Source organism: Homo sapiens, chromosome 13, assembly GCF_000001405.40.
Source record: "Homo sapiens chromosome 13, GRCh38.p14 Primary Assembly".
NCBI lineage: Eukaryota > Metazoa > Chordata > Mammalia > Primates > Hominidae > Homo > Homo sapiens.
The window spans coordinates 22,225,823-22,245,281 of record NC_000013.11 but is presented as its reverse complement, the minus strand read 5'-3'; the positions used below and the strand labels follow the sequence as shown (position 1 = coordinate 22,245,281).

Here is a 19,459-nt window from a genome sequence, read left to right as displayed (position 1 = left end):
GTCCCCTGAGGCCTGAAATACAGAGGCAACCACTGACCACACCCCGTGCTCCCACTCCTCCAAGGACACCAGAGAACTGCAGCCACGGGCCTGGCTTTGACTGTGAACTGGCAGGAAGGTCTACAGATAGCCTTTCTGATTTCCTCAGACTCTAAGGCACTCGATTTTTTCTGTTTGTTTTAAAATATTTTAAAACCCTCACTTACAGTTGCAATTGGAGGTAATCGAGAACCATGTAAGTATTAATATAAGGAAACTGAACTGATAGATGTATCAAACCAAAAGCAATAACACACACACACACCTTTAAGAAAAGCAGTGAAAAGGGTATTGGGATATATTTTAAGGCCTTAGAGTGAAGAGCAACACGAAGGTAAGTGTCAAAAGACAAAATGACAACAGATTTAGTTTAATGAGCTCATTGGCTTTGATTTGTGACTGTGGAATCCAGCAACACCTCATTCTATAAAACAGAATGGGTGTTCCAATGAACGAAGCAGAGGAGTTCAGCTTCATAAGCAGAAAAGAGCTGAGGAGAGCAGACATAGAGAACAAAAAGCAACTGGTCATTTATTTCAAAGTTAACCTCCTTAGGGCTAAAGGTTGACTGGAATCTTCTGGTTTGGGGGAAAACTGGCCCATTTCAAAGTTCCCTTTGATGAGTGCCACTTAGCACCAGCAACTCCGTTCTGATTTGGTTTGATCTGCTGGATCCCAGTCCAGCAGCTCAGTCCCATAAACTTTGTTCAACACAAGTAAAATGAAAAGCGGAGTATTCTACTGCTCAAAACCACCTCAACCCAGAAAGGAGCTTCTGTGAGAATCACAAGGCTTGGAAATTCAGGTTGGAGGGTGGGATTTGCGGGTGAGGGATGAAGTGGAACAGAAACAAGAAGCCGGAGACAAGAATGAAAATGGTGAGATGGCCTCCCCTGTGTGGCTTCTCACAGCTGGGTCTGGCTAGGCCCGCGGTCCCCCAGCTGAATCCCTTCCACCCTACGAAGGGCTGACAAGGGAGAGGAAATGGGCGAAAAAGACGGGAGGAAGGGTAAATGGAGCAGCGCTGAGTTCAGAGGGGACCAACTACTGGGGACTCTGAGAGTTGGAAGCCCACCCAGCCATTCTCAGATCCCCTCTTTAAACCTGTTCACAACCTCGGCAGCCACATCCCCTCAGGGGAAAGCTGTGTTAAAACTGGAGGTGTAAGATGAAGACAGCAGCCTAATTAAGCAGATCACAATCTGTTCCTGCCTGGGGTCACCAGTAGGCCACTTCTAACCTTTCTGTTCAATGAGTCTGGGGCTCTGGGGAGGCGGGGCAGGAAGGCAGGAACTAAACACTTCAGATAACCCATGGCCACTCTAGTTCTCCACTCACATGTTAATTAGGAAACCACTGGAATTATAGCTTTGCCGGCTCTTAAATCAGTTTCCACGCTTAAAAGTTCCTGAAATTCTGACACCAGCGCCCTAAGATGGAAGGCCTCTTAGCCAGGCTGGCCCAGGGGTGTTCAAATGGGCACCCGTCAAGCAGCTGAGATTTATATAAATGAGGGCATTGTGTGTTCAAAAGGAGATTGGTATGTTTGATCTCGGCTGTTATTGATTTACCTTTTCCACATGATAACATTCATTAAGTCAGATAAGTAAATGTTGATGTGTTCCCTTTCAATTGTCAACAGCTAAAACATAGAGCAACCATCACACCCGGTGTAACTTCCATCCATTATCAGTGGGCTGAGACCAAAACTGTTTTCCTACCTCACCATTACCTGAGATGACTTATGACTCCCGAAACAAGAAACTGCTCTTATTTTTCTTGACTTTCTGTGTGCATGGGTTTGCATTGCAGTTCAAAGGAACAAAAGCAATAGAGAAAGGAAGCTACACCACGACAGTTTCTCAAGGTGTTTAACGCTGGACTCTACCAGCTAATTAAAATCTACACTGACCTACAGGGAGGTTTCTTTTCAGTGAGCCCTTATTTATTTAAAACCCTAAAACTGCGGACCCTCAATAATTTGGAAAACCAGTAACTTTTTATAACAACCCCATGCCTAAAGTAACTTCATTGTAACTGAATAGTGTTGATGATTCAGTCAGTTGAATTTCTATCTAGTAATTTTTTAAAAATCAGGCTGAGATGTTTTAATGATGTTTAATGTCACTGCTGTTTTTTTCCATTAAGTACACAAGTACTAATGGCTGATTAAATTAGGGCATCCATTTTTTGACACAACTACAAGGTAGCATCAGGTGGGACCTGGCATGCAGGGCTATCTGGTCTACCATCTGACTGCAGGCTCTGGAAGGAGGCTGGAGATGACTTGGCTCGCCCATGAACTCTATTGCTTTTGTAGAACCTTATACAAATGGGTAGACGCTTTCATTATTCACAAACACTATTTATTTTAGAAATGAGAAAACTGTTAATCAGATAAATTAGAGATTACCCAAATCAGTCTCTTTTAAAGAACCCTCCCTCAATATCTGTGCTGTGTTCTCTATTGGACTCCTACAGCTTTGGAATTTTCCTCTGCATTACACTTACGACCATTACATTGATAATATCTTTTCTTCATCAGTTCCCCCCAGAGAATATCCATTCCTGGAGATAAGCTGCCTTGTATTATTCATGTTTGTATCTCCAGCGCCTAAATTAGTACCTGTTACCAATATATGCTGAAGTGAACTGGGAGCTAGAACAAAAACAACAAAAAGAAAACAGGTCTTCTGATGATATGGGACCTAAAAAGAAGGGTTCCTCTAGTGGAAAACAATAAAATTTTCCCCGATTCCATCTCCAGTGAGATACATGCAGACCACAAATTAGTATGACAATGTAAAGCAAGCCCGTGATGCCCATCTTTCCAGCAGAGACCAAAATTAGCTGAGGGGAAAAGGGCTTCAGGCAAAGGGTCCGAGAGTAAGTGGAGAAGAGCAGGTAGATTGCTCAACTAACTCTCTTTATTCTACTTCATCTCCACAAATTGCAACTTGCAATCTAGAAATATACATGTACTTCTTCGTAGGCCCTGTCTTTTGTGAGGTAAGCTAAAGAATAAAGAGAATAAAACTGAATTGCAAGATTTAGGTTCTATATTAGGTTCTGCCACAAATATGCTCTGTGACTTCTGGAAAGTCACTTCATTCCTTAAGGCCTCAATGTCCTTAAGTGTATAAGGAAGACTTTTGATCATGCCCTTCGATGCACACCTACTGGGCTCCTCCATCCTCCAGGCCCCGTTGAGATCCTAGATACAGAAGTGACCAAAACAAACAAAGCCCCTGCCTTCAGGGAGCTCACCTTCTAGGGAAAACACAATATGAAGTAAATAGCTAAGATTTTGAGATGTGATGAGTACCATAAGGATAAATAAAGGAAAGCATTTGCAAAATTAAAAATAAACTTCCTCGGCTAATCCATGAATCAAGTGATTCTGTGAAAAGAAATATTATATGTAGAATCACAAAAAGTTAAAAATGGAAAGTACCTTATTATCTGTTCCACACAATTTTATAATTGAGGACTATGAGGTAGGTAGGTAAGTAGATGAGTGGATGGGTGGGTGGATGGATGGATGGATGGATGGATGGGGGATGAATGAATAAATGATGGATGGAATGGATGGATGATGGATGGAATGGATGGATGATGGATGGATGGAGGATACATGCATAAATAATGGATGGATGATGGATAGATGGTGAGTAGATAATTAGATAGATAGATAGAATGGGTTGAAGTCATGCTACGTATACAGGCTTATATCCAAATTTTCCCTCTCCACAATGGCACATGAGCATTTCCTATCACTCTCACATGGTCAGCAGTGGAGTCCTGAGCTTGTACCTGTGCATTGCAGCTGATCTTTAGTCCTTCTTCCCAGCTTCACCATCAGTGGACTAGTGACTTCATGCTGGTTACTTAAAATCAGCCATCGTAGGGTATTTACACCATAAAAATTTCCAAATGCTACACACCAGGCCTTTTTCCTTTCTTTCATTTTTTTTGGAGATTCAGTTGTTTAATATTTAACAGCATTCCACTGATGGTAAGGTCACTTCTAACTCTATACTGCTGGGATTGGGCAGCATTTGATCTATGAAGAGAGTTAGTATCTCTTCCAAGAACTATCATAATTGTAGTGACTGAGGGGCAACTAGGAAAAAAAAAAAAGAAAGAAAGAAAAACTCTCATCCCTAAACGGATGCTGAAAAAGGCTGCTTGTTTTAGTCTTGAGCTAAAGTGAGCATTTGTCCACTTCAACAAAAGCTTCCTTCAGTCTCTAGAACTTGTCTAGTAGTTAGTGTGAGAATCCTTTTTTTAGTTTCATTTAATTGCCTCCAGCTGTAGGAATCCCTTTTGCCTCTGATCTATTGAAACCAGCCTTTTGGTTAACCTCCCTGTTTATTTAAACTCCAAACCCACAGACTGTTTTCCTTCTTTTGTTTTATCTTCTGTTTCAGAAACCAGGAAGGTGGGATGGAGGAGGTAGCCCAGGGGCTGTGGGGGCAGCTCTGGGAGCTCAGAGGGCCCACTGGGCAAGTGCCAGGGCTTATTTTGCTGCGGGGGGTGGGGTGTGAAAAACTTTTAGGTTCAACTGTTAGGTGAGATGACTGCTCCAGCAGCTCCAGCGAGACAGGGAAGCCCAGAAACGGAAGGCCATGGTGCTATTGGCATTTTGATGCTACATGACTTTGAAGAACTCACCTGCCCCATTATTAAGCTTGGATTTCTCTTATTGATACAGAAGTGCTGGGAAGGGAAGAGTGGTCCCTTTAAATGATTCAGAAGTGAGGAAGGGGAGTGCTGGGTAGAGGAGGGCATGGTCCCTGGCTAGGGCTCCAACCCCATGGACCTAGGTGAGGACAGGCATTTCCTGCTCAAATGTTGCATTTCCCAAGACCACCCTGGGCTGCCACACCCCCATCCAGCCTATAAAACCCCCCAAGACCCTGGCAGGCAGACACACAGGTGGCTGGATGTCTAGAAGAGCACATCAGCAGAGGAACACACAGGCAGCTGGACGTCAAGAGGAACACACTGACTGACAGGCAGCAGCACCCTGGCAGCCCACTGACCGCAGAACTAGCAGCGTTTGGCTGGGGCAGTCAGAAGAGAGGCCAGGCAGCTGAGTGGCCCGACTCCCGGGGAAAACCTTCCCACTCTACCCACTTCTGACTTCCCCCGAGCTACCTCCACTCAATAAAGCCTTGCACTCATCCTCCAAGCCCAGGTGGAATCTGATTCTTCTGGTTCACCAAGGCAAGAACCCAGGATAGAGAAAGCCCTCTATCCTTGTGACAAGGTAGAGGGTCTAACTGAGCTGGTTAACACAAGCTGCCTACGGACAGCTAAACTACAAGAGCACCCTGTAACACACACCCACTGGGGTTCAGGAGCTGTAAACGTTCACCCCTAGTTCACCTCTAGACACTGCCATGGGGTCGGAGCCCCACAGCCTGCCCTTCTGTATGCTCCCCTAGAGGTTTGAGCAGCAGGGTGCTGAAGAAGTGAGCCACTCCCCTGTCGCACACACTGCTAGGGGGAAAAGGGAACTTTTCCTGTTACAACTGGGGACCTTGCCCGTGATCCTGGGAGGTGAATGTGAACGAATGCAAAACTGTCGGGCCTGTCTCTCTTCCAAAACCCTGCCACTTCTCTTTCCTGCAGGTAAGAGGCTCTATTTCCCTTCACGGAGTTTCAAAAACTCCACCCTAACTGGGCTGGTCAAGACCCCTCGATTTTGGGGGACAAGGGAACTTTTCCCATTTCATTATGAGAATAACGGGGATGGAATTAGACAAAATTGGCTCATTTGGCTCTAAAGTTCTATGCTTCTCAAGAGGGCAACACAACTTTCCTAATTCAAGGCTCCGCTTATGCAGTGAGGGATGGCCACCAATCCCACCACAGTCCTGTGAGCCCCAGGAAGCACTGCATTCACACAATCATGTTACCATTTCAGGAAAGCCACTGCTGTAGAATGACCAGAACCTAAAAGAGAACCCAAATATAAGTGGATGGTGTTTCTTAATAAAAGAAACAGAGACAGCAGAACCAAGTCCGTAATGATGTGCAGTCTCTCCAGCCCTCTTTGCAAGCGCATATCCTTCATATTACCTCTAAATGCCAATGCAGTTACATGTGTTCTCATATCTCACAGATGGAAACAGAACATTAGAAGGACTCTAGGTTGCTACAGTCAGGCATAATAAGACATGCAGACATAAAAAGAGACAGAGTTTGACCATGTGAACAGAGGGAAAAAGATGAAAGTAAAAAACTGGCGCATAAAGCCAAATCCTGAGGCCATTTAGTTTAGGGAACAAGAGTCCTCTGAAGCTGACTGCGTCATAGTGCAATCGATTTTAATAATGAGTAGTTCAGAAATAGCTTAAAATGACCCACATACATTTAATAAATAGGAAATTTTGTTTTTTAAAAATTATAGCTATATTTCAATATGATCTCCTTAGCTAACTTGTCTGTGGCACTCACTGTGTTAGACCAAGGACTTTACATATTAACTCATTTAATTCAGAAAATGACTCTATGAATCAGTTACTGTCGTTATCCCCATTTTGTAGATGAGGAAACTGAGGCACAAAGACATTAAGGAACTTACTCAAGATCACACAGCAAGTAAGTGGCAGCATTCAGATGAATGCCATACTATGCCACCAGGTGAAGGGAGGCGGGTTTACTCCAGAAAGCAGTCTCCACAGTAGCACTATGACCGACCCCCAACCACACACTCACACACACTCACACACTCTCACACTCAGTCTCTCTCACACACACACATGCACTGACACACAGAAACTCATTTTCACACACGCACTCACACACTCACAGTCATACACATGCTCACACACTAACACACTCATATACAGTCTCACACACACTCACACACACATGCATACTCATACACACATACATACACACATTAAATACACATAGTTGTCCTTTTTCCCAGCACCATGATGGCTCGACATTGTTTACTCCTTCAGTTGCTTGTTAGTTGCCTTTCTTTCCTCCTGGAATGTAAACTCCATGAAGACAGCGCCCAGGAAGGCTTGTTCAGGATCCTGTCCTGTGCATTGATCAGGTACAGCTGGGGGACATGCCCTGTCCCTGAGCAGCTGCCATGAAGCCTAGGTCAACTACCTCATTTCCCTGCCTGTAGAGAGCACCTACTTGTGGAAGATAAACTTTTCTACTTTTTAAAGGGATCTAATTTTTCTGAGAAAAAACAAAAGCCAGACTAAAAGATAAGACCAAAAGATAATCTATCTCCACAGGTGTATGAAGACTGACAAATACACTTCATGAGGGAAGGTTCCATAGATTTGCTTTGCATCTGAGAGGAGTAAGTGAGATGCTGCAAGTTTGACTTAGCTTCCTGCATTGTAGACGTAGCTCCGTTTATCGACATAACCAGGCAATAAACAGGGTGACTTGCTACCCAGTTAGGCTGCCATGATTCCATATGGTGCTAAATTGATCTCAGCTCTGAGTTTGTGGATTGAGGAAAAGAGTGGAACAAGGTACTTACTGCTCTTCCAGATATTACCTAGAAAAGCCCATGCTTTTCTAAAGGGTAGCCAACATGTAGATGAAAAATATACCCATAATATTTTAGGCATTAATTCTCAGCCTGGTGGCACAGTATGGCAAGAGGCACACCAGCCTGGGAAAGCAGCAAGCCTGTATTTGAATCCTGGCTTTAGCACTTGCCAGCTCTGAAATTCATTCCCATCATCTGTATCATGGGACTGAGGATACTGACTTGACAGTTTTGTTGGGATGATTAAATTAAGTAAAATACTGCTTGTGACATTCTTGGGACACCCAAGAATAGGATTTTGGTAAATGTGGGTCTACCTTCTTCCAGCCACAGTAAATTTTGTAGCTAAGGATAAATCTTTCCAAAAAAACCCCACTTGCTAGTAGATACACTTTTCGATCCATAAACAAGTTTTAAAGTTTAGAATATTTTACAAGTTACTTTAAATCTAAATGCCCATGAATCTTACTCCTGGAGAAGACAGGAGTCCTGCATTTGTACACATGGGTGACTTCTGTTTGGAGAGCTGCCGGGTGCCCTCAAGGCCTGGGGCATGCTGGCTGTCTGAGAGACCCTTCCAGGGACAGGGTCCTGTGTGCAGGCCAGGGGTACACTACTGGAGGGAGCCCCAGCTGCTTCAGCAACTCTGGAGAGAATGCATCAGCTCCATTACACTTGGCTCAGGGTATTTGAGGGCCCCAGGGAAAGCACACTTCCCCACCTGAGTGGTGGATAGGGACCTCACGCGCCAGCCATCAGCCCGGAAATTCTTCCTGGGCCCTGCTCCCTAATATCCAAGGCCAGCCCTTGATGAAGCCAGTAAGCAAGTGGCATATTTCTTCCAGATCTCTCTATTTATTTAACTCTTACATCATTTACTGCAGCTTGTAGCCCCTTTTGTGCTCAGAATCTTACACCAGGCTCGCACCTCTCTGCTTTCAAAATTATACTTATTTTTTTCTCCATTAAGCTGACATTTTTAGCTTGATGTTATAAAGTTTTTCATTAGGCTAATTGATTCTAAGATACCTGTGGCTTCTAGCCATTTAAAAGCAATGTCTGCCTGTTAAAAGAGAACCTTGTTATCTGTAAAATTATATCATTAATGATAGAAATTCTGGCAGCAAAAAGTGAAATTAAGAATTTTCACACGATCTGGAATGGATTGTTTTGCAAGGAGACGTGTTGGAACCTCTTAACACCCTCCACGTGGGGGACCACCTACTCCTCTGTTGTCCATGGTTTTGGCACTGCATCTCCTCTGGGTTCCCCACTTTCGCCCCCCACCCCTCACTAAGAGCATACACAGAGAATCACCTGCACACATGCATACACACACACACACACACACACACACACACACACACACACGCCATCTGTGGTGTCATATGGTCAGCAGGTACCCCCAGCAAATGGGTTTACCTATTACCTATTATGTGGTGAGAGACGATGCACAGTATCACTCTGCTCTTCTTTGGATTTTGCTTCTGAAGCAAAATATTTCATCTCCCTACACAAACTGACCTTCAAAAGAAAGCATGAGTTCAGTTTCCTGGCTCTGTGTAGGAGAGGCTCTACTCCTGCAGACAGAGAGGCTTAGCTGAATCGCCCTCCCCAGGGGTGCTGGAATTTTTGCCTGGCCTCCTACCACATATCTTCTTTGTATTCTCTCAAGATCAAAACAAGAGAATCCTTACTGAAAACACTTTGGTGTTTTAGCTATTTTGGCCCATTTTCCCTCCTCTGCACCTCTCTCAGCCAGGCCTGTGGTTTGAGACGAGGGAAGAGGGTGAGAGCTGTTCATCCCTGTGTCACTGGCAGGGTCCTGTCTACCCATGAGGAGCTCGATGGCATCAGTGATGAGGAAGCCCATGTCCTCTGCATAACCTGGCCTGGTGTGAATCACACTGCAGTGACATCCTGCCTACAGAACTCCCTGCAAGCTGCTTCCCAGCCACCCACTCTCAGCCCCACAGAGTCAGCCCTTACAAGGGCCTAGAGTGTCAGGGCCTCCCTGGGGAAAGGAAGCCCCCAGCCTTTGGAGAAGCTTGGGTTTAGGAAGCTATCACCCAATTCAGTAAAAAAAATGAAAGCATCTGTTGTTGGTGGTTTTCTTTCTTTCTTTCTTTCTTTCTTTTTTTTAAAGTAAGAGGAAGAGGAGAAAGAGCTCAGTAATGTGATCCTTTCCTAAACCCCACCCTGCTCTGGTGCAATCAGGTAATATCCATTACACAAGAATTTCAAAGGTTCTTTTTCTGAGACTCTCAGCCACAATGCTGCCCATTGTTTACACTTTAATTAACTTCTGTTTTACTGATTTATTTTTTAAAAAAAGATGAATTAGCCTTATGCTTGGAGTTGAATTATTGCAATTTGAAACTCCTCATACCTTTCCTAAGAACTTCAAAGAACAGCAAAGGTTGTTTATGTGCAGGAAATCAAATTAGCAAAACTATTACAGTGGCTTAATGGCTTAGGGTGGTCAGGTTGATGAGAAACAGTAATTGGAAAGCCTTCCTCCACACCCCCCAGTCTCAATCCGTCTGTTTTAAAGCATCATCAACTGTAAGTAGGTTTGTTGGCTTCTGACTGACTGCTCTTCTGTTTGCCCATGTAAAATTTCATCTATTTCACATGGAAATATTCAAACGAGAGAGAAGAAATGAATTTGGGAGAATGAAAAAAAAAAGTGTCATGAATGAAGACAGTCAGCTGAAAACAAGAAACATATTTGAATGTGTAACGAAAAATAAATTGCATAATTCAACAAAAACAAACGCTGGTCCATTCAGAAATAAAACACCACAGCCTGTGGAATAGGCACTGGAAATCTAAAGAAGGCTGGCTGACCACATTTGAGGCAGCCCGGGAGAGGAATAATTATATTCTAGTGTCAGCACATCCTCTTTCCACAATGGCCATACACATAGAAAATAAATAGTTATTTTGGGCTGTTTTACAGCTGTGGGAAAACTTAAGCACTGAAGACTTAGAAATGTCCCAGTGGAAATCATATCACTGATGAACAGCCTTTTTCAAGTTTGTGTGAATAAGAATTTAACAAGAGGATATATTTATCTGAGCCATAATGATACCTGGTAAGGATTCTAAAGTTATCTAATAGAATAATTAGATATTCAAAAGCCTTTTGCTCTTTATGACCAGAAAATAACTGCATTAACTCTGATGTGAATGATGTACTCGCTCCAGTCAATGGCAATGTCTGTACAGTAGTAGGTGCCAAACCAAACCTTCAAAAGCATCCACACAGCTCTCCCAAACACTCAGGTGGCTAGCTGTAAAAGGGAGTACACCAGAACAGAAAATAAACTTTCTAAGCACCAAAGCATAAATTACCACACTCTAATCCTTAGTTGTTAAAATGAACAGATCCTCCGGAACAAACCTTTTCCTGTAACACTAAAATACGTAATTCGGTGTCTTAGACTTCTATAAAGAGTGGCCAAAATTCAAGCCTTAATAGAGGCGGTCAGACAGCAGTATTCCAGAATCTGATACAGACCTTAAAAAGATTAAGCTATAATAATATTATAGGTTGGTCTCTGTATAATTTAGACTAACATGTGCCTAGAAATCAGACCGAACCTGAAGAATTCTATGTAACGGGCTACAGAAAAATTTCATAAGCTGTTTCTCTTTGTGGCTATAATAAACGGACTGTTAGAACTGAATGTAGGTATTTGAGTTCTAGTCCTGGCTTCCCTCCACTTAGCTGTGTGACCTTGAAAAATTTTATACAAACCTCACTATCTTCATCTATAAAGTAGGTACAAAAAACACATCTGCCTTCTTCTTGGGGCAGTTGTGAAGACCAAGTGAAAGGACATTGTAAATTAAGCATTGTACACATGTCAGGGTTTTGTGTTTATAAGGAATTTGGGTTGGTAAAGATATTTTTAAATTGTTCTGCTATTCAATTTGCATTTTGAAGATTAATTGTATAGGGGATTAAGAAAAATATATTTTTTTGGAACAGAAAATCTTTTGGCAGGCCAAATATTTGGGGGCTTATCTTACAGTTATTTTAAAGACTAAATTTTTTAATATTGATATTTACATAATGTGCAGGCATCAGAAGTGTATGGAAGAAAGTGGCAGCTGGTATCAAGGAGGTTTAATGATTCACTGTTGCTTTTTCTGTATGTTTGAACCTGAATAAGGTCAGACTTTTTCAGAAAATTTTAGGAAGAGCAAATTTAGAGACTCGGATAGTATTTTATAATTGACCTTTTAGTTGCGAAAAAAATTTAAACTCATGCAAAATAAAATAGCAAGTACAGGTTTTAAAATAAAGTATTAACCTAGAAAACACACTTAGTAAAACAGACAACGACTTTTAAAAGTTAGCATGCAGGTTATGGCTAATTCTAGACAAAAATTTAATTACGTGCTTTAACAAATAATAAAATTAAGAGTGGATTCACATTGTTAAAGAGGATCGAAGTGTTTTTCAGTCCAAGAGCACCTTATTAAAAAGTAGAAAGTGGTGTCATCTTCATTTACCAAATGAATAACACAGGTCTGGCAGATTTCAGAAATTTGCCCTGAGTTACATGGTTAGCGTAACTTTGAGTCCAAAGTTGTTTCTTGTTTTGTTTTTAACTTCTGCTGCCTTTTCAGCTATCAATTTTCAAATGGAAGGAAACAAGGCCATTTGATGCACTCAAGTATTATTATATATTTTTTACTTCCTCATATAGTTCAGTGAGAGAGCATTTTGAAAACTATCTCAAACCAAAATGAAACTACCATATGTAAAACACCTGGAATTAGGGTCCAGGTCTCATTATAGGTAGCTAAGGTGAACATGTACCCCTCTGTTAAAGACTATCTGAGAGTTTAATTCATATGATGAGAGAGGGAGAGAAAGAGAGAGGAGTCTCACTCTGTCACCCAGGCTGAGTTGAAGTGCAGTGGCGTGATCTTGGCTCACTGCAACCTCTGCTTCCTGGGCTCAAGCAATCCCCACACCTCAGCCTCCCGAGTAGCTGGGACCACAGTTCTGCACCACCACACCCAGCTAATTTTTGTATTTTTCATAGAGATGGAGTTTCATTATGTTGTCCAGGCTGGTCTCAAATTCCTGGTCTCAAGTGATCCACCCACCTCTGCCTCCCAAAGTGCTGGGATTACAGGCGTGAGCTACTGCCACATCTCTTTTAAAACTGAGAAGATTTGGGTCCACAGGGGAAAATGTCTAGACAATAGAGAGACAATTGAAAATAATTTTCAGCTGGGAGGCAAGTAGTGTGGACCAGTAACTATGGAAGGATGGCAATAGGCACAGGCTGGCCTGAGCCCAGAAACCAGCTGAGCTAGATGAAGCACACTTCCTGCAGCAAAGTGAAGGACCTAGGCCAAAAACAGGTCGCTAGTACTTAGGAGGTTGCACGTTTAGCAGGACTAAGAGAGCTTTGCAAGATAGCTCTTAAGTGAACTAATTTGCTGTTACACTGAGTAAGAGAATAGAGTCAGAAACAATGACCATTCCAACTCTCATTATCGTTAAGGCTATTTGACAGTGTTGCACAGGAGGTGCCCTAGTATCAATGTTTGCATCCAACAGAGGGTCCCTCTTCAATTTAGACCTCATTCAGGAACGGACCCATCTGATCAAAAAGCAGATGGGAAAAGGGAAAAATACAATCCTTCTCATGCTTCTCAGAATGGCAAAGACATCAAAAGCAAAATGCTGTTGGGCCAAGCTTGCATACACCAGACACAAAACACTGAAAGGGCAGCCGGCTGAGACCCCACTACAGGGAGGAACATACACAGCCTCAGGTGTTGACCAGCACATGCTACAGGGAAAAGCCATTTCCAAATGTGCATATCATCAAGATTTGAAATTCAAGTGAACTCAGAGAAATAAAAGACCATCCACAAAGCATGATGAGGGCTTTGAAACTAGAAAGTAACATCCCAGTGGGAGAAAAACAATTTGAGCAGAAATTAGGTCACCCACAAAGCATAGCCTTGACCAAATCAAAAGGAAATCTATCTCTTAACCAAATGTGGCTAAAGGTTTTCACAATTTGTTTGGTGAGACTAAACAAATCAGTATTTGTTTATCCCTAACTATACCTAGGTTACCAGTATAGTTATTGCTATGGTGTTTTCTTGGCTTATCCTTCGTTTATCTGGACAGATCATATAGTACCTAGTTAAAAGACCCGTCCGGCTTTTGTTGTAGATAGATATTGATACTATGTCACTCAAGGTCTGGCAAAACCAGATCAGCAATACCTGAGGCTACACAAAACCCAACTCTTTTCTATTCTATGAACTTCTTCATACAGATGGATGGATGGACGGACGGACAGATGGACGGATGGATGGATGGATAGATGAATGGGTAAGTGGATGAATGGGTAAGTGGATGAATGGGTGGGTGGGTGGGTGGATGGATGGATGGATGGATGGGTTGATGGGTGGGTGACTGGATGGGTGAGTGAGTGGATGGATGGATGACTGAGTGGGTGGATGGATGGATGAATGAGCATATAGATGGATGCATGGCTGGGTGAAGGGGTAGAGAGAAGGGCAGTTAGATGAATAGTAGAATTAGGAACTCGTACAAAACCACATGTAGGGAACAGATTTGTTTTAAATTTGGGGATTGATGGGATGATACATCTAATACCAATTAAGTCACTGAGAGACAATTTGGCACTAGGTTTTATCACAAAGGGCAGAGATGTAGTAGAATTAGATGACAGAATGGGAGAGAAGATGGACAGGGAAGATAAGCATCATTTTTGTCTGCACTTCAACCGTTGACTTATTTTCCAGTTTTTATTTAGCCCATGTTCACATGTTTAATGTGTCTGTGATTGATTCTGTTTCCTTCACATCACTTTCAAACTATAAACTCACAGGTGGCAGGGCCAGGTCTCTATGCATTGTCTCCATAAAGGAACTAGTACAAAACCACATGTAGGGAACATATTTGTTTTAAATTTGGGGATTGATGGGATGATACATCTAATACCAATTAAGTCACTGAGAGACAATTTGGCACTAGGTTTTATCACAAAGGGCAGAGATGTAGATTCTAAAGTAAAATTTCAATGTAAAATTACTACCAGAAGGCAAGTTTATGGAAGCAAGAAATATCAATAAGAACTAGAGACATAAATAATCCTAAAAAACTCAACCAGAATATGGTGACAAGAGCTTACCTCCATATTCCCTCAAATAGCCCCTCTTGAAATGAAACCATATAAAATAAGAAATTCAGCACAACCAAAATAATAACAGATGTACTTTAAGTGTTCCCAGACCTAAGCACCTTGGAAAGCTGAGGTCACATTGATTAAAAATGATTCCTCTCTTAAACAACTTTGACACATCGTCTTGGCTTTAGTAGTGAGCAAAGGAGGTCTTTGAAGAAATCTATACCAGGCCAGCTCAGCTCTATCATACATGGTTTTTCTGACCTTTTATTTTTATATCACTGTTCCAATTTTGTCAAGATCATGGAGGTTTTCAAGTGATGGTTCATTGTAATGACAGTTTAAAGCAAAGCAGGTCTGTGTGGGAGCCTGTACTTTAGAAAGACAGCATTGTGGGTTTCAGTCAGCCCCACTGCTTACCGGGAATTCCTCTCGGGGTGGTGCGTGGTTTAGAATGCTAGCACGTGGATTCTCAGTAGAAACCCTCTGTCCAACCCCAATAGCAGTTTACTTCATTAACATCAGAAACTGCAGTTTACTTCATTAACATCAGAAGGTCAATTCTACCTGTTATCACGTCCAGAGATGGTGAGTGCTCCATACACATTATTTACTGATTTTTATGCACCTGACGGCTTAGGAAATGTCTTGAAATCCACTTTAGAATGTTGCTGAAATGATTTCAGTGCTGGGGGAGGAGCAATGGGAAGACCTGTGGGTAATCAAAGGCCTGGGATCGAAAGCCACACCTGGGCAGTGTGGTCCCAAGGTGACAAGGGATTCTAGCCAAGCAGGAACGGGTTTGTGCAGAGGGCTGCCTTTGTCTAGGAATTCTGTCTTAGGCTTCTTATTAACACTCTTGCTGTCCATCATCATGTGACCTGACAGAGATGGAATCTCCCACATCTGGGGACAGCATCCCCCAACATCAGTTCACAGGAAGCCTGTCCCGCAAAGCATACAGTGCACACCTGCCTGAAAATACTGACTGCCAATATTTTGGCAAGGAATGGAATTCTTGTGTTTTTGTTTGCTTGGTTGGCTTTTTCTCTCCTAGAAGTCCCTGTAGGAATAATTAAACCAAAAGTTATTTAATCAATCAAGCATTTAATTAATCAAAGGTATCATGTGTATTTTTTTCTAATAGACTGGATAGTCATGTGTTGTATTGCAAGTGCTCAACAGCCTTTTAAGTTGCTAGGCTCTTCAGGCACAGACACTATTCTTCCAGAAGCCGGCCCTGTCCTAGGACTGTGGGTCGCACCTGCACATGTGCGTATTGTGTGCATAATCACTGAGCTCAACCAATAGCCATGGAGCTTTGTAACAGTTGACCTGGGGCACATATGTGTGTGTGTGTTTGTGTGTCCACACTCCCAAAGGAGTAATGGCAGCACATCCAGGAGACAATCAGAAGGTACATCATCCATTAGTTTAAGTTCCACTGAGAAATCAGCACCCTCAAAAGGCCACACTGCAGGCAGTTACCATGAGTGTCAGTACCAAAGTCCTTAGCTTGCATCACCAAGTTGCTCAATAAATCCTTACAAGTGTTGAGGTTTTGCTCTGATATAGGAGCTCAAACGAGAGGATGAGCACAGTGGTTCATGCCTGTAATCCCAACACTTTCAGAGGCCGAGGCTGGGGGATTAATTAATTGAGGCCAGGAGTTTAAGACCAGCCTGCACAACATAGCGAAAACATTTTTTTAAAAAATTAGCCAGGCACGGTGGCATGCACCTGTAGTCCTCACTACTCGGGAGGCAGAGGCAGGAGGATTGCTTGAGTCCAGGAGTTCAAGGCTGCAATGAGCTATGATTGCACCACTGCACTTCAGCCTGGGCAACAGAGGGATACCTCATCTCTATTAAAACCAAAAAAAAAAAAAGAAAGAAAAAGAAAAAGAACTCAGACAGAGGCTGTGTCTTCTTCATGCTTCAATCTGCTTCAGAGTCAGGCTGGCCGGAGGTCCAGCAGCATCAGTGTCACCTGCAGAATTGCTAGAAACGCAAAGTCAGGGCTCCACCTCAGGACTCCTGGAACAGGGTCCATATTCTCACAAGATACTCAGGGGTATGTTGGGATGTTGAAATTTGAGCCTCACTGCTCTAAAGTAGACAAATAGGACTCAGGATTTGGGAGCCACCTGGCAAATCCCAGAGACACGACTCCACCTGTCATCCCTGGAGCCGAGAACCAGCAGAAGTTATGGAGTGCTTACGGCAGCTTCCTCACCCACTCCTTTGCTAGTCCCAGTTTTCACAGGGCAGAGAGATGCTCCCTGGGTTGCCAGCATATTCCAGGGCTCAGACTGGAGAGAAAGTAGAATGAGAGGTGGCTCTCAAAGGTTTGCAAAGTCTTCTCAGGCTGAGCAATGAAGTGTGCCTTCTTCCTGTATCTTCCACAAACCCACATACAGTTAAGAAGTTGAAGAAAAAAAGAGGAACAAGGGACAGTTGAAGCAAGCCTACTGAAGTGTCCGATGAGATATATTTTTAGGTTTCTGGACAGAGGCTCAGGTCAAAAGGAGTCTGATGAACCTGAACATCATTGATTAAATCATTCACTCATTCACTTGATATTAATCAAGTAGCTACCCTATGGGAGGCCATGTTTCAGGTGCTGTTGTGCCAGCACCATCCCTGATACAAGGCTGGACATCCCCAACATGAAAACAGGGTCCCCAGAGACACCACCTGCTACACAGAGTTTCCCTCCAAGTTGGAATCCTCTCAGGAAAGGCTGGGCCAGGTACAATAGGCTGTTTCTCCCAGCAAGGTCAAGGAGTCATCGGGGTGACTGGTTTTCAAAGCGGAGCCTGATCCACCCCTGGGGAAATGCCCTTGCTGTCTACTGCTATCTGTTTAAAAGGTGGCTCCTTAAAGGGTTAACATCATCCTCAGTGCTACTCTCAGATCCTACGCACAAAGAATATTTAAAGCACATCTCCTCCACTGCTATTTATCCACACGCATTCCCCACCCCAGCCTAATCACATTCCTACTTCAGTCTATTCATAAAAATGTTGGTGTAACAAATGGCTATTTAAAGTCCTCCTTCGGGAGCAGATGCCTCTTTGCCCTACAGGCTCCTTGAAAGTAGGCACCTGTCTGAGCCCCCCGGTCGGCCTGCCAGTTTGTCTTGTTCATTATTTCTTAGTTCAGCGAATTACCTTACTTCATGAGGCAAGAAAAATTCCTGGCACTCTCTCTCATTATTAAGAATGATTTCTTTTTATCCTTAATCCCAATGCCCAAACACTCAGTTGCCCATGGCAGGAGCTAATGTGTGTGCATACCTGAGATAAGGGCCAGTCCTCTTGGCCTTTTTATTAGGACATTATGTTAGATGGCTCTTCTCCCTTCAGTGCTTCGATACAATTTCATTCCATGTGAATAGGGGTGGTTCTCCAGAAACCCCAGCCCTAGTGAGACACACGTTCAGATTTTATGAGGTAGGTGCTGAATTTGGCTCATTCCCACTGGGACAAGGATTCAAGGGCAGCCTTTCAGAGCACATGGCTTTCTCTTTATGTCGCATAGGTTACAATGCAGACTGCAAGGACCACAGTCTTCAGAGTAGGATTTTCCTCCTATCTGAATAGACATATTTGCAATCATTTCCAAATGACACTGTAGAAATTACATATTTATCAAATAATCCCGCTTGGTTGGTTGTACCAATTTGTACATCCTGAAATCATTTCTATAACAACATGGAAAAGGGAAGGCTCCTCTTTGGACTATGAGAACTAGGAATTCATTTCTAGTCTATTGAGACTTTCCAAACTAAATTTTTTTTCTTTCCTATATCAAATAAAGTGATTTTTGTGATCATTTTCATGTAAACAATTTGCATAACAAGAGCCAACATTTAAACACTGTGTCTGTGCAGTTGTCTCCTGGCATAGACCGAGAATGTATGAACTCAACATGTTTGCCCCTCTGTCATTCAATGATGTGAGTGGACAAGGTTGGGATGGAGACTGGAAGTAGAATTTTCCAGAAGGTGTTGCATATAAATGTGGAAGTATATATATATCCTCATTATAATGGGTGAATTTTATAGCTATGTCTACATGTGCAAATTAGTCTATTTTAAAGTGCTATACTATTACCAACATAAGGCAGCCGGAGTGGAGATGAGTCCCAAGATTAATTAAAAGGAACTGGCTATTTAAGAAAGTAAAATAACTGTATCTAAGTTGGAGAAAGATGAGTTTGGAAGCAGACAAACGAGTGAACCAAGGGAGAAATGGCTGCTGGCTCTCTGCCTGCAAGTCTTTAGAGGATGTGAGTGCCACTGAGGAAAAAGGGGACTGTTGTTTCTCATGGCACCAGGAGGCTGTGACTCGGAGAAAAGAATGAGATTAAAACTTTAAAAGCAAAGACAAACCTTCAGCTCCAGAAGAACGTTTCCTAGAGATTGCTCTAAGCTGAAGAAAATTATCCCAAGGAAGTATACTCATAGGATTGTAAAGGGAAAGTCTTAGAAAACCTGAACTCATATGTCTCAAGCAAAGGACTTGATGTCCCAGTAAGATGTGTGTTGCCCTGAATTTCCACTTTCTGCCTAATGTGAGGCTCCTGGACATGGGAGAGAATCACGTGCTGCCATGCCTCTACCCCAGTGTGCTGTAACATGGCCCAAATGCTGCTCAGCTTCCCGCATCTATGCAGCTCAGAGCTGC

At 42.8% G+C, this 19,459-nt stretch overlaps 1 long non-coding RNA gene across 1 annotated transcript in view, besides 1 other annotated feature; it reads right to left on the bottom strand.

Moving 5' to 3' along the window:
- The window catches only part of LINC00540 (long intergenic non-protein coding RNA 540), a 66,237-nt gene that overhangs the window by 31,240 nt on the left and 15,538 nt on the right, over positions 1–19,459 (bottom strand). The gene's annotated exons all lie outside the window — the stretch shown is intronic.
- Positions 4,530–5,030: an enhancer, noted in NCBI's record as "H3K4me1 hESC enhancer chr13:22814391-22814891 (GRCh37/hg19 assembly coordinates)". NCBI's record gives its function as "activates a minimal SCP1, AML or CMV promoter by ChIP-STARR-seq in primed H9 embryonic stem cells {active_cell/tissue: H9 hESC(primed)}" and the evidence as "EXISTENCE:reporter gene assay evidence [ECO:0000049][PMID:30033119]".